Source organism: Homo sapiens, chromosome 3, assembly GCF_000001405.40.
Source record: "Homo sapiens chromosome 3, GRCh38.p14 Primary Assembly".
NCBI lineage: Eukaryota > Metazoa > Chordata > Mammalia > Primates > Hominidae > Homo > Homo sapiens.
In genome coordinates, this window is record NC_000003.12 from 53,243,307 (window position 1) to 53,263,384 (window position 20,078).

Sequence of the window (20,078 nt, forward strand, 5' to 3'; positions counted from 1 at the left end):
GGGAGGGCCCCTCCACATGCAGCTCAGCTCAGCTCAGCTCAGCCCTCTCGCTGCTCCCAGAGGTCCTTCACACGAAGACACGCCGCATGCCAAGCCCAAGGGCACATGCACCATCTGGAGCTCACGCCGCCAGCCTCCCGCCCCTCCAATCAGCGCTCCCACCAGGTTAGGGGTGAGTCACGCTCAGTGCAGACAAGTTAGTAGTAGAGAAATCCAGAAAACTGTCCATGCTGGTTTAGTACCAACATTCTCGCACACGATCATCTTATACTTAACTATTTCTATGAACTCCCGGTCATGGGAAAAGACACTACACCTGAAAGAGGGAGGGGAGGACATGGTAAACGAGAAACCCTTTTCTGCCTGGCAGGGACCCTAATCCCACGCTCCCAGTGCCAGCTTCAACTGGAGGCCACCCTAATCCCACGCTCCCAGGGCCAGCTTCAACTGGAGGTCACCTCAGGCTGACCTCTCGTCCTTCCCACCTCCAAGGGCAGCCCCGGCCCTGAGGGGTCCTGTTTCTAAAGCCATGGTCCCATTAGGAGGGATCCTTGGTGGGAGAAGGATGTGGGTGGACACTGGGCCAAACTGTTCCGGGGAAGAACAAGGACGGTAAGTGCAGGGCTCCACCTGCCCCATCCACCTCGACACCCCGGGGTGACAGTCCCATTGGCCACCAGAAGGGGTTCCAGGGAGAAATGGTGTGGCACAGGCTCTTTCTGTGTGTGGCAGAAGCACACCCAGGCCCAGATAGAGTAAACGTGGAGAGAGGAAGGTCAGCTGCGAGGTGACCAAGGGTGAGAAGTAGAACGTGCAGCTGATTTTAAGCCTTCCTTGCTAGGCCTGCAGCCTTTCATTCCTTCCAAAGGCTGCATCCAGCCTGCTGCGGCCACTCTCTTCACTTCTACCAAGTAAACACGCACAAAAGAAGAACGCTTAGGAGCCAGGTGTCCCCGCACTCTTCCCCAGAGCTTTTGGGGCTCTCCCTCGGCAGAGCATCCTGGGTTGGGGAGGTGAGCTGTGCCACTTGGGCTTCGTGACTTCAACAAGTGCTTCGTCAACCCGGGGCTCAGCTTCTTCACTTGGGAGAGTGTCTGGGAGACACAGTGAGATAACGCAGCATGCACAGTACCCAGGTCTCTAGCAGCCGCCACCACTGCCAACCCTCTCAGCACCTGCAGCTCTTATCTACAGGCAGGGATGGTGACACCACCCACTCCTGCTGGCCACAGGCAGGCAAGAGGGGAGAAATACACCAAGGATTGAGACCGGGCTCTGCACACTGTAAAGCACTGAGCACACAGGAGACAGTTACTTTCAAGCTCAACTTCCTAGCGGGCCTTTGGGGCCAAAGGCATACATTTAAGCCTGTGGCCTCCTCAGGGCCAGAGTTTTTCCTGCCATTCCAGACTGCCTGCACAACTGCAGGTGGACGCCCCATCCCGTGGTGCTGTGTGTGACAACTCTGGGTGAACACTGGCGAGAGATGGGGTGAGGAGCACGGTGGAGGGGCTACAGGGTACTTACTGTATACCCTGACTCTGTGATAAACAGGGCTAACAAGCACACTTGACTGTTCAAAAAAAAAAAAAAAAAACTAACACACCCTGCCTTGACCAAAACAGTCCACTTACAACCCCAATTAGTTCAACCTGTGACGGTGGTGTGGCAAGCTTAGAGCTAGGCCCAAAGAAAGTCTCTTAAAGCCCCCTCCAGGCTGGGGGCAGTGGCTCACACCTGTAATCCCAGCACTTTGGGAGGTCAAGGCAGGCGGATCACCTGAGGTCAGGAGTTTAAGACCAGCCTGGCCAATATGGTAAAACCCCATCTCTACTAAAAATACCAAAAAATTAGCCAGGTGTGGTGGTGGACGCCTGTAATCCCAGCTACTCGGGAAGCTGAGGCAGGAGAATCACTTGAACCTGGGAGCCAGAGGTTGCAGTGAGCCAAGATTGCACCATTGCACTCCAGCCTTGGCAACAAGAGTAACACTCCATCTCAAAAAAAAAAAAAAAAAAGCCCCCTCTCCACTCCCCTCCAGGACAATATATATTCTTCCAGATGTCCCCTGGCCAGGAGAATCTCTGTCATCGCTTTAGTGCTCACTCCACCTGCTCACAGGTTTCTATGCAAGAAAAGGCCAGAGAGGCTCCCTCACCCTCCAGATGGGCTCCTTCAAGAGATAATGGATGTCAGGTTGGGCGCGGTAGCTCACACCCGTAATTCCAGCACTTTGGGAGGCCAAGGCAGGCAGATCACCTGAGGTCAGCGGCTCAAAGACCAGCCTGGCCAACATGGTGAAACCCCGTCTCTACTAAAAATACAAAAATTAGCCGGGCGTGGTGGCACATGCCTATAATCCCAGCTACTTGGGAGGCTGAGGCAGGAGAATAGCTTGAACCCCGGAGGCGTGGGTTGCAATGAGCCGAGATCATGCTACTGCACTCCAGCCTGGGCAACAGAGTGAGACTCTGTCTAAAAAATAATAACAATAATGAAAATAATTTACCAAAACTGACTCAAGAAGAAATAGAGAACCTAAGTAATCTTTCAAGCATTAAAAATAAACCAGATCAGTAGCCGAAGATGCACATCCCTTAACTCCCAGCAACTTCACCAGTAGGAACATACAGTGAAATGTACTCACATGTTCCACACATTCTACAGGAAACACAAACAGGCCGGGCACAGTGGCTCACACCTGTAATCCCAGCACTCTGGGAGGCTGAGGTGGGTGGATCAACTGAGGTCAGGAGTTCGAGACCAACCTGGCCAACATGGTGAAACCCTGTATCTACTACAAATACAAAAATTAGCTGGGCATGGTGGCAGGCACCCGTAATCCCAGCTACTTGGGAAGCTGAGGCAGGAGAACCACTTGAACCCAGGAGGCTGAGGTTGCAGTGAATCAAGATCGTGCCATTGTACTCTAGACTCGGTGACAGAGTGAGACTCCATCTCAGGAAAAAAACAACAACAACAACAAAAAAAAGGAAACACAAACAGGGCTGCCCCGCATTGTTTGCAATTGCAAGACCTGGAACTCACTTATATGTTTATCAATAGACGAGGTTAACTGGAATATATTAATATAATGGGATACTATACAGCAGTAAGAATGAGCGAGCTACACTTCACAAATCCGGTATCAATATTCTCTCCCAAATATAGTGTGAAAAAAGCACAGTGCAGAAGGATCTGTTTAACAAAGAAGACCATATTGATTTATGTACAAGTCTTTTTGTATATACTACAAGGAAAACAGGCCAGGTGCGGTGGCTCAAGCCTGTAATCCCAGCACTTTGGGAGGCCGAGGAGGGCAGATCACCTGAGGTCATGAGTTTGAGACCAGCTTGACCAACACGGATAAACCCCATCTCTACTAAAAATACAAAATTAGCCGGGCATGTGGCACATGCCTGTAATCCCAGCTACTCGGGAGGCTGAGACAGGAGAATCGTTTGAACCCGGGAGGCGGAGGTTGAAGTGAGCCGAGATGGCGCCATTGCACTCCAGCCTGGACAACAAGAGCAAAACTCCGTCTCAAAAAAAAAAAAAAGGAAAACAATAGAATGATAACAAACAAAAAATTCAGGGTATAGTTCTTTCTCAGGGGAAGGGAAGATGAGGATGGAGGGACCCACTGTAGTTCCAAAAATCACTGTAATGTACTAGTTCTTAATCCTGGGAGCAGCTACACACAGGTTCATTATTTATGACAAGAGTACATCATTTATCTTCTTCTTTATGCATATACTTTTTTTTTTTTAAATATTCAGGTGGCTCACGCCTATAATCCCAGCACTTTGGGAGACAGAGACAGGTGGATCACCTGAGGTCAGGAGTCTGAGACCAGCTTGGCCAACAAGGTGAAACCCCGTCTCTACTAAAAATACAATAATTAGTTGGGCATGGTGGTGGGTGCCTGTAATCCCAGCTACTTGGGAGACTGAGGCAGGAGAATCGCTTGAACCTGGGAGGCAGAGGTTGCAGTGAGCTGAGATCTCACCATTGCACTCCAGCCTGGGAGACAAGAGTGAAACTCAGCCTCAAAAAAAAAAAAAAAAAAAAATTTAGAAGAGGCCAGGGGCGGTGGCTCACCTGAGGCACCTGAGGTCAGGAGTTCAAGACCGGCCTGGCCAACATGGCAAAACCCCGCCTCTACTAAAAACACAAAAATTAGCTGGGCATGGTGGTGCGGGCCACTAGTCCCAGCTACTTTACATGGGAGGCTAAGGCAGGAGAATTGCTTGAACCTGGGAGGCAGAGGCTGCAGTGAGCCGAGATCGCACCACTGCACTCCAGCCTAGGCAACAGACTCCACCTCAAAAAAAAAAAAAAAAAAAAAAAATACTCAGGAGAGAATCCCAGGATGTCAGGGTGGAAATGAACATCAGAAGCAGTTCTTGCTCTTCCTGTGCCCTGAACTACCCGAGCTGGCTTCTGCCCGGAAAGAACCTCTGGCTCCAGACCTCAGGTTGTTTCTTCAGATCTCTGCCCCATGTCACCTCTTCCAAGAAGCCCTCCCTGACCACACTGTCTAAAATAGCTCTTCTTCCCCTCACTCATGCTTGCCACCTGACATTAGGTGGTTATTGCCTGTCTACCCTACTGCAATACAAGCTCCTTGAGGACAGAGCTTTGGGCCTTTCACTGTTGTATCCACAGGCTTGAATAGTACCAGGCACAAACTGAGTGCACAAATGAATACATGATGTATCCTAGTAACCTTGGGGCTGTAACCTCTTTGAGCCTCAGTTTCCTCACTATAAAACGGAGGTAAAAGAAGAATCTGACTAAATGATGTAGTGTGTATGTACAGAACGTGGCACCATGCATAGAAATTAGCAATTGCTCAGTAAATATTAGACTATGCTTCATTCGGAGGATGGGGCCACTAAGGTTCACAGAAAGTGACTTGCCTAAAGTCACACGGCCTGCCAGCAGCAGAGCTAGGATAAGAGCAAAATGCTAAGAAAAACTGGTGAATGGATAAACAAAATGCACTATGTCCACACAACGGAATATTCAGCCGTAAAAAGAAATGAAGGGCTGGGCGTGGTGGCTCATGCCTGTTAATTCCAGCACTTTGAGAGGCCAAGGCAGGAAGAGGACTTGAGCCCAGAATTTGAGACCAGGCTCAGCAACATACCCTGTCTCTACAAATAATTTTTAAAATTAGCTGTGTATGGTGGTGAGTGCCTCCCAGCTACTTAGGAGGCTGAGCTGGGAAGACTGCTTGATCCCGGGAGGTTGAGGCTGCAGTGTGCCATGACTGTGCCATTGCACTCCAGCTTCGGGACACAGTGGAGACCCTGCCCCCCACCCCCCAAAAAAAAGGAACAAAGTACTGATTCATGTTACAACATGGATGACCCTCTAAAAATTATGCTAAGAGGCCAGACCCAAAAGAACTCATTCTGTATAATTGCATTTATATGAAATGTCTAGAAGAGTTAAATTTAGAGACAGAAAATTAGATTAGTGGTTGCCCAGGACTGGGGGTGGAAATGGGGAGTGACAGCAAATGTCCAGAAGAGATCTTTTAGGAGATGTGGTAAATTTTTGTAGTAAATCTCTGCAAATTCATTAAAATCACTTACAATGTTATGATACGCCAATTATACCTTAATCAAGCTGCTAGAAATTTGTTTTTATTTTTATTTATTTATTTATTTGAGACAAGTTCTCACTCTGTCACCCAGGCTGGAGTGCAGTGGTACAATCTTGGCTCACTGCAACCTCCGCCTCCCGGGTTCAAGCGATTCTCATGCCTCAGCCTCCCGAGTAGCTGGGGTTACAGGTGCCTGCTACCATGCCCGACTCATTTTTTTTGTATTTTTTAGTAGAGACAGGGTTTCACCATGTTGGCTGGGCTGTCTCGAACTCCTGACCTCAAATGATCCACCCACCTTGGCCTCCCAAAGTGCTGGGATTACAGGTGTGAGCTATCACACCTGGCCTAAAAATTTGTTTTTAAAAGAAAAAGGGCCTGGAGCAGTGGCTCACGCCTGTAATCCCAACACTTTGGGAGGCCAAGGCTGGCGGGAGGATCACCTGAGGTCAGGAATTCAAGACCAGCCTGGCCAACATGGTGAAACCCCATCCCTACTGAAAATGCAAAAATTAGCTGGGCAGTGGTGGCATGCACCTGTAATCCCAGCTACTTGGGAGACTGAGGCAGAAAATCGCTTGAACCTAGGATGTGGAGGTTACAGTGAGCCAAGATCGCCGCCCCACTGCACTCCAGCCTGGGTGACAGAGCGAGACTCTGTCAAACAAACAAATAAATGAAGAAAAAGGTGCTAGGAGAGCTCAGTAGAGGAAGTTCTTGGGCGTCCACACTTCCCTTCCAGCTGTGTAGTCCTCGGAGATTCCACCCAGTGCACAAATGCAACTGACTTCTGAGCAACCCCCATCTGCAGGTGGGCTCACCCCAGCTCCCAGCACATCCTCTCTCCCCTACCTTGCCTCTCCATTCAGGGCAGGAGCAGAGCCTGCCTGAGGACCTAGCTCTGTGCAGGTCCCTGACCTCTAGAAGTGTCCCCAGCACCCAGGGCAAACTGGTCTGTGGCAAGAAGGGAGTTCCTGATTTTGTGGAACTAGGCGACAGTGACAACAAGCCTGCCACAAGAGACAATGAATGTTGAGGGGTCAGAGCCACAACAGGGGCCGGACATCAGTTAGAGTCCATAGGAAGCCACGACAAAGTCTCAGCCAGATCCTAACTAGGTGCTGTACTTCACTTCCAGTTTCTTAAAACACCGACCACCAGCCCTGCAGAGGAGAGGTCACTCGGGCAGAGAACCAAGCCACCCCAGGGTGGCCAGTGTCTTCACACTGAGTGAGGAAATGCTGCTGCTGGGGCAATCTCAACGGTCATGCTCTTGCCTCAGTCAGGGCCAGGATGGGTCCTGAGGCAGCCCAAAAACAGAAACAGGCCCAGAGAGGCGGAGCCACATGGGGCCAGAGACCCCAGGAGGCCCTCAAGCCTTCAGCCAAAGCACCTGGATGTCAGAGCTGGGTAAACTGGGATACAACCCCAGCCACTTTAAGGGCACAAAGAGCACCAGGATGTAAAATCAGCAACAGCGGGCGGTGGGACCCCGGAGCCCACTCACTCCATCCCCAGCCCTACTCCTGAGGCACCCAGTTTGAAACCACCTATCCATGAACCTCTCCTTTCAAGATGGAGAAAATGGCCTGTAATCCCAGTACTCTAGGGAAGCTGAGGCAGGTGGATCGCTTAAGCCCAGGAGTTTGAGACCAGCCTGGGCAAAATGACAAAACCTCAACTCTACAAAAAATACAAAAATTAGCCAAGGCATAGTGGCTCATGCCTGTGGTCCCAGCTACTTGTGAGGCTGAGATGAGGGCATCATTTGAGCCCAGGAGGCGGAGGCTGCAGTGAGCAGAGATCACGCCACAGCATTCTAGCCTGGGCAACTGAGAACCTGAGATAGGAAGGTTTTTTTGTTTTGTTTTGTTTTTTTAAGAGCCAGGGTTTCACTGTTGCCCAGGCTGGAGTGCAGAGCCATGATCATAACTCACTGCAGCCTTGAACTCCTGGGCTCAAGTGATCCTCACACCTCAGCCTCCCAAGTAGCTGGGACTACAGGCACATGCACAGCTCTTTCTTTTTTTTGTAGAGATGAGGTCTCACTATGTTGCCCAGTTTGGTCCTGAACTCCCAGGCTCAAGCAATCCTCCCACCCTGGCCTCCCAAAGTGCTGTGAATACAGGCATGAGCCACCGCACCTGGCCGGAAGGGCCTTTCTGACAAAGGCACAGCCACTAGGAACAGAGCCAGGGTTGGACTCATCTCCTGTGTCCACCAGCCAGGACTGGCCAGGCATTAACCTCCCCAAAGCTGTGGGTCAGAAACCCTGGGGGGACTTGTTGAAAGCACAGACCACCTTCCCTTTTGAATCAGGCCTGACTGTGATGGAGTCCTCAGATGACACTTGCACTGTTTGGATAACACCACAGTCTGGCCCTGGTGAGAACTGAGAAATCTTTGCCACCAGCCTCAGCATCCAGGCCACTTCTGACAAGGCCACTGGGGTTTTGTTTTTTTAAAGCCAGGATGAGCTGGACCCTTGCCATAATTCCTTCAGCCCATGGAAGGAGATGACCCCAGAGAAGCTCTAGCCACTGTGGGCGCTGCCTCAACAAAGAGCCTTCTGTGAGGTCTGTCCCTTCACCTCCAGGCCCAACTCCTGACAGAGGCCAGTGTCCCTGCTTCCTGGGCCTGGTGAGGTTCACTGCACACGGGTCAGCAATGGCATAGGAATGGGAAAGCTATCGAGAAACGAGCCTGGGTCCTCACAGAATGTACAAATCCTGTCTCAGTAAGTGGCCAGCAAAAGATTGGACCAAAGCTAGACATGGTAGCACATGTCTGTGGTCCCAGCTACCCAGGAGGGTGAGGCAGGATTGCTATAGCCTAGGAGTTCAAGACTGCAGGGAGCCATGACTGTGCCTCTGTACTCCAGACCTGGTGGGTGACACAGCAAGACCCTGTCTTAAAAAAAAAGAAAAAAGGAAAAGGGGCCAGGAGCGGTGGCTCACGCCTATAATCCCAGCACTTTGGGAGGCCGAGGCGGGCGGATCACCTGAGGTCAGGAGTTCAAGACCAACCTCAACATGGAGAAACCCCGTCTCTACGGGGTAAAAATACAAAATTAGCCGGGCGTGGTGGTGCATGCCTGTAATCCCAGCTACTTGGGAGGCTGAGGCAGGAGAATTGCTTGAACCTGGGAGGCGGAGTTTGTGGTGAGCCAAGATCGCACCATTGCACTCCAGCCTGGGCAACAAGAGTGAAACTCCATCTCAAAAGAAAAAGAACTGGATCAAAGTCCTGTGAGCTCCCCCAGAAAAGGGGACATTCTGACAAACTGTCACTTTAGCTGTGACTACAGCCCAGATTGGGCCAGGGCTTCCGGACTGAGCCTTCACTCTATGCCTCATTGCAGAGAGGGAACAGTGGGCCTCAAGATAAACATCTGGGGACAAGAAACAGAAGACTACCTGTGTCTCAAGTCTTCCTTGATTAGCTTTTGGGTGCAAACACACACATACTCTTGGCTCACAACTTTCAAAATATGGGTTGCATAGCAACGTTATTTCCTTCTGAAAAATAAGTTTTCCCTCCTTTTTTGCATATTTTAAACATATACATACACACACACAGTCACTGTATTTTACATATCCTTTTTTTCTTTTGCAAATGGATATTTTTTGAGTTCAGTGAGCTTCCCTCTCCAAGACATTACAATGTAAACATGGTGTAACTCTCGGACACCACAGTATGTTTCCGGAGGGGTAACGGCGGTGAGGAAATCAGACTTTGCCTAACAAAGAACTAGGAGACACACTTGACATTCCACTCTTTTGGAGCACCCTACATTTGTAAATCTTATTTCTCTCCAAGTGCCTTTCAGACTGACTAATATCCACCGCGGCTGTACCTGGCCTTCCCTTTCACCTTTTTCACCATTCTCCAGCCTGGCACAGACTGCTTGCCCAAGAGGCATTCTTTTTTTTTTTTGAGAAGAAGTTTCAATTTTGTTGCCCAGGCCAGAGTGCAATGGTGCAATCTCAGCTCACCGCAACTTCTGCCTCCCGGGTTCAAGTGATTCTCCTGCCTCAGCCTCCTGAGTAGCTGGGATTACAGGCGCCCGCCACCACGTCCAGCTAATTTTTTGTATTTTTAGTAGGGACAGGGTTTCACCATGTTGGCCAAGCTGGTCTCGATCTCCTGACCTTCAGGTGATCCACTCGCCTACACCTCCCAAAGTGCTGGGATTAAAGGGATGAGTCACTGCGCCTGGCCGAAACATTATTTATTTTTGGAGACAGGGTCTTGCTAATGTTACCCAGGCTGGTCTTGAACTCCTGGCCTCAAGCGAACCTTCTGCCTTGGCCTCCCAAAGTGCTGGCATACATGTAACACCATGCCCAACTATTTTTCTTTTCTTGGCCTTTCTTTCTTTCTCTCTCTCTCTCTTTCTTTCTTTTGAGACACAGTCTCACTCTGTCACCCATGCTGCAGTGTGTGGCATGTTCAAGGCTCACTACAGCCTCAACTTCCTGGGCTCAAGTGATCCTCTGCCTCAGCCTCCCATGTAGCTGGGACTACAGGTACACATCACCACACCTAGCCAATTAAAAAAAATGTTTGGCCGGGGGCAGTGGTTCACACTCGTAATCCCAGCACTTCGGGAGGCCGAGGTGGGTGGATCACCTGAGGTCAAGAGACCAGCCTGGCCAAGATGGTGAAACCCCATCTCTACTAAAAATACAAAAATTAGCCGGTGCGGTGGCGGATGCCTGTAGTCCCAGCTACTCAGGAGGCTAGGGCAGGAGAATCAGTTGAACCTGGGAGGCAGAGGTTGCAGTGAGCCAAGATTGTGCTGCTGCACTCTAGCCTGGGCGATAGAGCAAGACTCCATCTCAAAAAAAAAATTTTTTTTTTAAGCTATGGGGTCTCACTGTGTTGCCCAGGTTGGTCTGGAACTCCTGGGCTCAAGCAATCCTCCCACCTTGGCCTCCCAAAGTGCTGTGATTACAGGCATGAACCACCATGCCCTGCCAAGAAGCATTCCTGACAGCATGAGCCCCAACCAGACAGTACGGAATGGCCACCAATTCCCAGCCTGGGCAAGTAACTTAACACACTAGCCTCAGTGTTCCCGTCTATAAAATGTGAATACAACACAATCTATCTCACAGGGTTATTCTCAGGATGCAACAAACGATGATGCTGTGTCATACCAGATACCTACTTGGCAGCTCAGGAACCCTGTAAACATCTGCATGTTTTATCTAGCCCTGAAAGATGCTCAGATGTGCAATACTACTTAGTTGGGTAATTGCTGCCTCTCTCCAGCTAGACCTCAGACCCCCTGAAACGGCCAAAGGTAGCAGGTCCAACAGTACCAAATAAGCAATACAAGGCCTGCAGAGCTACCGTGTGCCAGGCTGGTGAAAGGGGAGCTGAGAGTAAGCCAGGTCCCTGCCCAGGCAGGGGATACCCCACATAAGTGGTAAGACTGACACAAACCCAGGAGAGCTAACAGGTCCAAAGTGTGCAAGGCAGTGGGTGGGGGAAGGGCTTTGAAAGACATCTAATCCCTTCTGAGAACAGGGTGTCTTAGAGGCACAAAGGGTGAATGCGTATCCACCCAGAAAGGTGAACAGATTTACTTCTTAATAATATATCCTGAATGAAATTGGCCAGAAGCCAGAATCTTGTCTGTCTGAAACAGAGCTTGTTTGGGAAGGTCCCGAGAAATCATCCATCACGCAGCCCTCACAACCCTGTCATGAGCCCGGAGCACTGCTGGCACTGTGGCCTCAAAGCAGCCTCCAAGTAGAGCACTGGAGTCCTTGAAACCACCCAGCGTGGTTAAGTGCCATTACTGTCCCCGCTTTACAGAGCGGGAAGCAGGCTCTGAAGTAATTCACTGACTGACCCCCTCACCCACCCCACTGGACACCTCCAGCTGCATGCACGGTGGCCCTCATTAATTATCCCTGTCTCCGCTACAGAGGAGGCTCCTTGGGTGTCCACCTTCTGGGCCAAAAGGGCTGGCCAGGGAAGGATCTTGGGGCCTAGGCACGCCAGCTCCTGCCTGGGAGATACAGCACCTGGTGGCTGGCCCTGCCCCAGGACGTCACTCCCGGCGCTAGGGCCCTGGAACTCCGTCCTTCCGGCGCTCAGCCTTCTCAGTCTCCTTGCCCTCCGCCTCCTCCCGCCCCAGGTCAAATCTTAGACCTCCTTTTCACAATGGATCCCAGGGTTCTGCACCCACGTGCCACCGCCCTCCTCCCCTCTTCCCCCAATCAGCCCCGCCGCTGCCTGGCGTCTCAGCAGCCCCCTGCTCCAAACTCGGACCCAACCCAGGGGTGGCAGGAGACAGGGGTAGGGGAGCGTAGTCTGAGGTGGGGAGAAGGCCGGGCCCCCGAGTCTCCTGCAAGAGGAATTAAAAACAGGGTCTCTAGAGTCGGACTGCTGGGGCTCAAATCAGATCTCCCTGTGTGTAACTTTGGGTAGCTGACTAACTCGGAGCCTCCGTTTCCCCATCTGGAAGGGGGAACACTCCCGGCGGCGCCCACACAGCCAGGTGGTGGAGAGGGTTAAGAGGGCCGCGTTCTGTAGAACAGCAGTAATGGTGGCCTTCCCGGCATCACCCTAGAGGGTACTTGGCGAGTCGCGAGCCCATCCCCCGCGCCACCATGCAGCTGCGCGGCCGGCGATCCGCGTGGGGAAGAGCCGGCCTGAGGCGCACGGAGGACCAGAGGCCCACGCGGCCGAGCCCGGGCGTAGGGCGAGTGTGCGGCGCAGCGGAAGCCGCCTGCAGCCCGGGGCCCTGCGAGGCGCGCGTCTCCGCCCTCCGACGGCGCCCGGGCCACCTTCCTCGTCTAGGCATCTCGCAGCGCGACCCAGAGCCCGCGGCGACTCTGGCCGCCGCAGACGCCCCCCGCCCCGCCCGAGCCGCGTCCCCGGCCGGCGCCGCGCACTCACCCAGAGCCCGCCGCAGTGGTGGCCTGGATGGAGCTGATACGTAGGCGGTTGGCCGTGTCCTTCAAGGCCTGCAGCTTCTGCTGGTCAGGCTTGTGGTAGCTCTCCATGGTGCGGCAGGCGGGGACCGGGCGCACACGCGGACACACAGAGATAGCGGCTGCTCCCGCGGCGACAGGCGGCTGCCGAGGCCGGGCGCGGGGCGGGGGCGCGTTAAGTCGCCGGGCGGGGCGGGGCGGGGATGGGAGAGGCGGGGCAGGGGGAGGAGGCGGGGCTCGGATCACCCCAGGCCTTCAGCCCCGCCCCGCCTGGGGCCGCCTCCTGCCCGCTCCCCTCCCCTAGGCGCTGGGCCGCTGCGGACTGCGAGGTTAGCAGTTAACCACACACACCAATAATAATAACATAACGAACAACTCAGGATTCGAGTCTGGGCTCCTGACTCGAAAGCCTCTCAGTCTCCCTCCTCCACACAGTCCTCCGTGGACTTGTCACGGCGAATCCCATTTTAGAGATGGACAAACTGAGGCTTGGCAAGGGCAATCAAGGTCACAAGGCTGGTGGGTGCCAGGCTTGGCCCCAGCCGACCAACCCCAGGCCCAAGAGACTGCAGGACTTAATTTTGAGACTGAGTTTCGCTGTTGTTGCCCAGGCTGGAGTGCAATGGCATGATCTTGGCTCACCACAACCTCCGCCTCCTGAGTTCAAGCAATTCTCCTGCCTCAGCCTCCCTAGTAGCTGGGATTACAAGCATGCGCCACCACACCTAGCTAATTTTGTATTTTTAGTAGAGACGGGGTTTCTCCATGTTGGTCAGGCTGATCTTGAACTCCCGACCTCAGGTGATCCGCCTCGGCCTCCCAAAGTGCTGGGGTTACAGGGGTGAGCCACCGCACCAGGCCCTATTTCTTTTTTCTAATAATTAAAAAACTTGTTTTTTCTTTGAGACGGGGTCACCCATGGTCACCCAGGCTGGAATGCAGTGGAGTGATTACAGCTGCCTGAAGCCTCAGCCTCCTGGGCTCAAGTGATCCTTCTGCCTCAGCCTCAAAAGTAGCTGGGACCATAGGTACACACTACCACGCCCGGCTAATTTTTGTATGTTTTGTAGAGATGGGGTTTTGCCACTTTACCCAGGCAGGTCTTGAACTCCTAGGCTCAAGCCATCTGCCCTCCTCTGCCTCCCAAAGTGCCGGATTATAGGTATGAGCCACCATGCCCAGCCACTCAGGGCTTTAGAGCCCTGCACAGGGGATGGGGATTATTGAAAATGAGAATAGGATAGTGGTAGCCATGACAATGCCAGGTGATGATAACTGAGAAATTACTAGGGGAAGATCCTTTACAAATTATTAGGGCCTAGAAACACTACTGACTTTTAGGGAGATTATTGGGTTTGCTTCCAGGTCTGTAGGGACAGGGGCACCCACCACTACTGTTATCAGACCCCATGGTTCCCAGAGGTATGAAGCTCCCCAGAGTGGGATTAGGGAGGGGACTTTCATCACAGACACTGTTTCATTCAATCTGCCCACCACACTTGGCCAGTGAGGTACATACTGCCTACAATGCCTATTTTACAGAGGAAGAAGCTCCATTTGACAGAGGAAAGATAAAGGCAAGACCCTCAAACGGATGGCTGGGCAGGGAGCTAAAACCCTGAGAGATCCAAGAGGCACCAGTGGCCGCCCTGTGTCCTCTGTGTCCTCCCTGCATTGCCCATACTCAGAGAGCTCTGGCTCATGAGGCGATTGACTGAATTTGAGTGAGTCCCCCAGCTCGCCTCCAGGTGCTCCTCTGCTGGCCTGACCCCCAGATGCCCAATCAGACCCTAAGTATGGCATCCCATAGCACCTGGCTCCTGCTGGCCCAGCCCGCAGAGGCTGGCCCTATGGTGTCTGGCTGGTGAGGGCTATGGGCTAGGATTGGAGGGGGGCCCCACAGTGTGCCACCCTCAGATGCCTGGCAGGTGCCACCTCTGCCCTCAAGCTGCTCACTGTCTGGAAAAAGGGCAAACCCTTGAAACCCTTTGAAAGCTCTGTGCCTTCCAACTCTGTGGCCCTTAGAGCAGTGGCTCCCTAAGGGAGTGGACTCCATTTCCCCATCTGCCTAATGGGACTCATCCTTATCACTCTGGTCTCTGACAATGGCACAGAACTCACCATGGCTCTGGGGACCTAGGAGTAATGGAAAGAAAATTGTCCCCTCCCCACCACCTGGAGCTCCAGGGACCTCAGGGAGGCTCTCTCTCCTCCTGGTGTTCCACATGAATGGGGCCTGTGATACTATGATATGCATATACAGGCCCCTGGCTTAGAACTGCCCCCAACCCTTGTTATACCACTGGGGTGCTTTAGACCTCAGGAGCAGACCCCAGAAACAGAGTCTCTCAGGCCTTCTCCTACCTTCCTTTCACCTGCTCCTTTCTCTCCCCATGGCAGGATCTTCTCCTGCCGGTCTGTCTTGGAGCTGGCCATAAGTAAGTTCTCTCACCTACCTCGTGTAATTGTAGGTCATTAGACCCCCATGAGAAGGGGTTCTGTCCCATACCCATGAGGAGGGAAGACCAGAGTGGGTGCAGAGTGATAAGGATGAGTCCCGTTAGGCAGATGGGGAAATTGAGGCCACTCCCTTAGGGAGCCACTGTCCTAAGGGCCACAGAGTTGGATGGCACAGAGTTTTCAAAAGGTTTCAAGAGTCTGCCCTTTTACCAGACAGTGAGCTTCACAGAGAGGTCAAGAAGAGTCAGGACACACAGGTCTTGCGGGGTTTCCCCACTCAGTCAGTTAGTATTAGATCATATACTTTTGGTCTAATCACATTTCCACAAGGTTGTCAATCATGTCTGTCCAATGAAATGTCCATGAAAGGCTCAAGAGGACAGGGTTCAGGAGCTTCTGGACAGCGGAACACGTGGAGGCTCACAGGAAGGTGAACAAGAACTCATCCACGTGCTGGGAGGGTGGAACATTCCAGCTCCATGGAGACAATGGCTCCTTCACTAGGGACCTTTCCAGGCCTCCGCCTATGTATCTCTTTGCCTAACTGTTTCTTTGTCTCCTTTAAAATATCCTTTGTAACTAACCGATAAATGTGCTTTCCTGAGTTTTGAGAGCTGCGCTAGCAAATTAATTGAACCCAAAGAGGGAGTGGTGGGAACCCCAACTTGAAGCTGGTCAGTCCCAATCTTGCGACTCATGGGAAGGAGGAGGTGCTCTTGGGGGACTGAATCCTTAACCTGTGGTTTCTGAGGCTATCTCCAGGTAATTAGCATCAGAATGGAATAGAGTTGGAGGACACCCAGCTGGTGTTGCTGCAGAATTGGTTGCTTGCTTGGTGCATGGGGAGAAACCCCCACACATTTGATCACAGGAGTCTTTTGTGTTAATTGTTGTGGTGTGAGAACAGAGGAAAAACAGAGTTTGAGTGTTTTCCCTTTCACAGGGCCCAAGGGTTCAGCCTTATTTCAAGAGCTCTTGGTCTTCCTGAAGGTCAGCTTCAGAACCAGAATCCTAGGCTAGCTGGAGGTGTTGCTAGCACCCAGTTTGTCCAGGGTGGTTCCCTTGTCCCCAGGTCCCAGGGTCTTTATTCGAACCCTCACGCCTCAGAAGTCACATGGCACTTGGAAGAAAGCCCTGGGATCCTGTCTGGCTTCCAGCTAACATCTGGCTCCCTGCTGCCCTCACACCCCATCCTCTCTCAGCCTCCTGTTCACCCTCCCCATGGCTGCCAGAGAAGTGTTCCTCCCCAGCTTAACTCCCATGTTGTTCTTCCTCCACCCTTTGGATATAATTCAGGTCCCCCAGCCCTACCCATCTCAGCCACACTGACCTCGCATTCCTTAAAAAATACCAAGCCCACTCCCTCCTAGAGGTTTTGCACAGGCTGCTCCCTGAGCCAGCAGAGCCCTTCCTGAGGCTCCTCACATGGCCTGGATCTAGAGCCATGCTGCCCATCACACTGCCTGTCTTGGTCTCTGCAGGGCTCTCTGCCTATCTGCATGATCTTTGGTCAGCTCCCGGAGAGCCGGAATACAATCTCTTGTCCCTGGCTCTATCCGCAGGGACTACAACTGGGTCTCATATACAATAGGGGCTCAATGAATGCCTGCAGAATGAAAGCATGAATGTCAAGTGATGTGCCTGAGGACACAGAGTCAGCAAGTGCCAGGGCTGCACCCAAGCCAAGAGGGCATCAGGGAGGCCTCAGGGGAGGGAATCTGGCCATTCAGACTGGTGTCCTTCATTCCGGCCTTTCCAGAAACCGAGACACAAAGGTGCTCTGTTGGAGGGTAGGAAGTGGCAGAAATGTCCTACTGCCGGCATCAGGTGCCAGCAGAGGCCACAGTGACCTGAGAGCAGAGCCACATTCTGGAATCTGAGCTGTCCCCCAGGACCCGTGCAGCACTAGGGAGAAGGTCACCCTTAGAGGAGCCAGAACAGTGTGAGTCCCCACGTAAGAGTCCCCCACAGCCACTCCCCAGGGATCTCCAGTATCACTAAAAGGGACCTGAGGGGGGTTGGGGTCCTGAGGGGTGCCATGCCACCCAGTATTGTTCCTGGGCAATGGCTTTGATCACCAAGGCAGTGCTGATGGATTGTACTGGCTGCCTAGAGTGGAATGTGAAGCAGAGAGTTCTGAATTGCCCTTCAGCCTGAAATGCCAGGACCGGTCTAGCCATACTGGGCAGGGGCACCTTGCATAAGAGACTGGCAGTGTCAGGAAGTCATGTCCCACCTCTTCATGTCCCCTGTACTTTGGGGACCCAGAGGGGGCTGCACTTGGGCCGGGCATGACGAATCCCAGATTGCAGGAACTGTTTGGCACACACACACACTGACACTCACAGACAATGCTCACACACCCTCTCACGTTTGTTGTTGTTAAGAGATAAGGTCTCATGCTATGTTGCCCAGGCTAGTTTTGAACTCCTGGGCTCAAGTGATCCTCTTGCCTCGGCCTCCCAAAGTGTTGGGATTACAGGCATGAGCCACTGCACCCGGCCCATAATACGTTGTTAATGGGGTAAAAGCAAGGTAGAGAACTGCAGATAGAGGGTGATCCTATTTCTGTCAAAAATAAATAAAAGCACACATGTGCCTTTGTGCACTTGTGCGCATGCTTGTAGGTGTGTGTAAGTTTACATGGGCATGCAGAGTCTGCAGGGACAGGTTCACAAACCGTGGGAGGCTTAGAGAGTGGGAATTGGGGACTTTCAGTTTTTTACCTACCCTTTTCTCTTTTGTTGGAATTTATTGGCAATGAACATGGTTGACTTTTTTTTTTTTTTTTTTTTTGAGACAAAGTCTTACTCTGTTATCCAGGCTGGAGTGCAGTGGCACGATCTTGGTTCACTGCAACCTCAGCTTCCTGGGTTCAAGCAATTCTCCTGCCTTAGCTTCCTGAGTAGCTGGGATTACAGGTGCCTGCCACCACATCCAGCTAAGTTTTGTATTTTTAGTAGAGACAGGGTTTCTCCATGTTGGCCAGGCTGGTCTCGAACTCATGGCTGCAGGTGATCTGCCCATCTTGGCCCCGCAAAGTGCTGCGATTACAGGCATGAGCCACTACACCCAGCTGATCAGAAAAAAAGCAAAATAGGCCGGGCGCAGTGGCTCACACCTGTAATCTCAGCACTTTGGGAGGCCAAGGCAGGTGGATCACTTGAGGTCAGGAGTTCCAGACCAGCCTGACCAACATGGTGAAACCCTGTCTCCACTAAAAATACAAAAATTAGCTAGTGAAGTTATGGGCAGGTTGCATTTTTGTGAACACACATTTTCTCTTGGTTTCCTATGATTATGTAAAGCTGCTCCCATGTTTCATAAGCCAGGCTGCTGCCCTGGATGTTTTTGGGTTGGGAGCAAACCCCCAGGCAGTGGGAGCTTGATGGTGCCTCTCCTGTCCTTGCTTTGCTATCCACATAAAACTTAGGGCAACGCCATCCTGATGTGCTCCTGCACGTTCACTGAGCAGGCACTGATGAGGCATGAATGGGCCCTGGGCAGCTGCATTCCTGAGTGACAGCACTGGACATTGCTTTGGCAGGGCTGGGCCCACATGTGTGCTCCTGGGGCATGCCTGGGCCAGCCTCTGGGAGCCCCAAATCAGCACAGGGCTTGCAATGGAGCCAACATCCAGCTCTGGGTCCTCAGGACACTGTTTTTGACTCATATCCAAGGCTGGCCACCTTCAGGGGCCTGGGAGGAGTCCTCGTGGAGTGAGTGTCCAGCTCGTGCCCTCCTGTGCCGAGTAGACAGCCTTGCTCCTGAGTACCCAAAAGAGGCATGTAGGTTGACTGAGTTTTAATACATTTATCTCTCCTCCCAATGCCTGAAATTTCCTTTGGGAGGCATTTTTGGGGAAATGCCTCTTTCGATAATGTAGCTCCCATTTGAGAACACAAATGTTTCAACTCATTCACAGAATGTCTCAGTTCTCTTGTACTCAATTTATTCTTGTTTTTTAAAAACATTCAATTTCTTCTTCTTCTTCTTCCTCTTCCTCTTCCTCTTCCTCTTCTTCTTCTTCTTCTTCTCCTTCTCCTTCTTCTCCTTCTTCCCTCTTCCCTCTTCCTCCTCCTCCTCCTTCTTTTTTTGAGACAGAGTCTAGCTCCGTCCTCCAGGCTAGAGTGTAGTGGCACAATCTCAGCTCACTGTAACCTCCGCCTCCCGGGTTCAAGCGATTTTTGTGCTTCAGTCTCCTGAGTAGCTGGGCCTACAGGCATGTGCCACTGGGCCCAGCTATTTTTTTTTTTTTTTTTTTTGAGACAGAGTCTCGCTCTGTCACCTAGGCTGGAGTGCAGTGGCACGATTTCAGCTCACTGCAACCTCAGCCTCCCAGGTTCAAGCAATTCTCCTGCCTCAGCCTCCCGAGTAGCTGGGATTACAGGCACACACCACCGTGCCCAGCTAATTTTTGTATTTTTAGTAGAGACAGGGTTTCACTATGTTAGCCAGGCTGGTCTGGAACTCCTGACCTCATGATCTGCCCGCCTGGGCCTCCCAAAGCACTGAGATTACAGGCATACACCACTGTGGCCAGCCTATTTCTGTATTTTTAGTAAAGATGGGATTTTGCCCTGTTGGCCAGGCTGATCTTGAACTCCTGACCTCAGGTGATCCACCAGCCTTGGCCTCCCAAAGTGCTGGGATTACAGGTGTGAGCCACTGTGCCCGGCCTAAAAACACTCAATTTCTGATTATCGAAGTAAAACATAGTCATCGGAAAAACTTTAAAAGTACAGAATTTTTTTTTTTTTTTCTGACTGGGTCTTGCTTTTGCCTAGGCTGGAGTACAGTGGCACAATCTTGGCTCACTGCAACCTCTGTCTCCTGGGCTCAAAGGGATTCTCCCACCTCAGCCTCCTGAGTAGCTGAGACTATAGGCATGCACCATCATGCCTGACTAATTTTTAGTATTTTTGGTAGAGATGGGGTTTTGCCATGTTGCCCAGGCTGGTTTCGAACTCCTGGGCTCAAGCGACCCACCCACCTCAATTTCCCAAAGTGCTGGGATTACGGGCGTGAGCCACCATACTTGGCCCAGAAAATTT

The 20,078-nt window shown here is 52.0% G+C and overlaps 1 protein-coding gene across 5 annotated transcripts in view, besides 3 other annotated features; it reads right to left on the bottom strand.

The window, feature by feature from the left end:
* Positions 1–12,716, bottom strand: part of TKT (transketolase) — a 31,311-nt gene extending 18,595 nt beyond the window's left edge. For all 5 annotated transcript variants that reach the window (NR_047580.2, NM_001135055.3, NM_001064.4 and 2 more), the window contains exon 1: positions 12,530–12,716. Coding sequence is in view for 4 of the 5 variants with exons in the window: in NM_001135055.3 (NP_001128527.1) it covers positions 12,530–12,636 (107 nt within the window). In the remaining variant the exon portion in view is untranslated. The remainder of the gene's footprint in view (positions 1–12,529) is intronic.
* Positions 12,313–13,002: a silencer, noted in NCBI's record as "silent region_14464". NCBI's record gives its function as "represses an Ori minimal core promoter by ATAC-STARR-seq in GM12878 lymphoblastoid cells {active_cell/tissue: GM12878}" and the evidence as "EXISTENCE:reporter gene assay evidence [ECO:0000049][PMID:35858748]".
* Positions 15,267–15,561: an enhancer, noted in NCBI's record as "tiled region #10976; K562 Activating non-DNase unmatched - State 6:EnhF". NCBI's record gives its function as "activates a minimal TATA promoter and a strong SV40 promoter by Sharpr-MPRA in K562 cells {active_cell/tissue: K562}" and the evidence as "EXISTENCE:reporter gene assay evidence [ECO:0000049][PMID:27701403]".
* Positions 15,267–15,561: a silencer, noted in NCBI's record as "tiled region #10976; HepG2 Repressive DNase matched - State 8:EnhW". NCBI's record gives its function as "represses a minimal TATA promoter and a strong SV40 promoter by Sharpr-MPRA in HepG2 cells {active_cell/tissue: HepG2}" and the evidence as "EXISTENCE:reporter gene assay evidence [ECO:0000049][PMID:27701403]".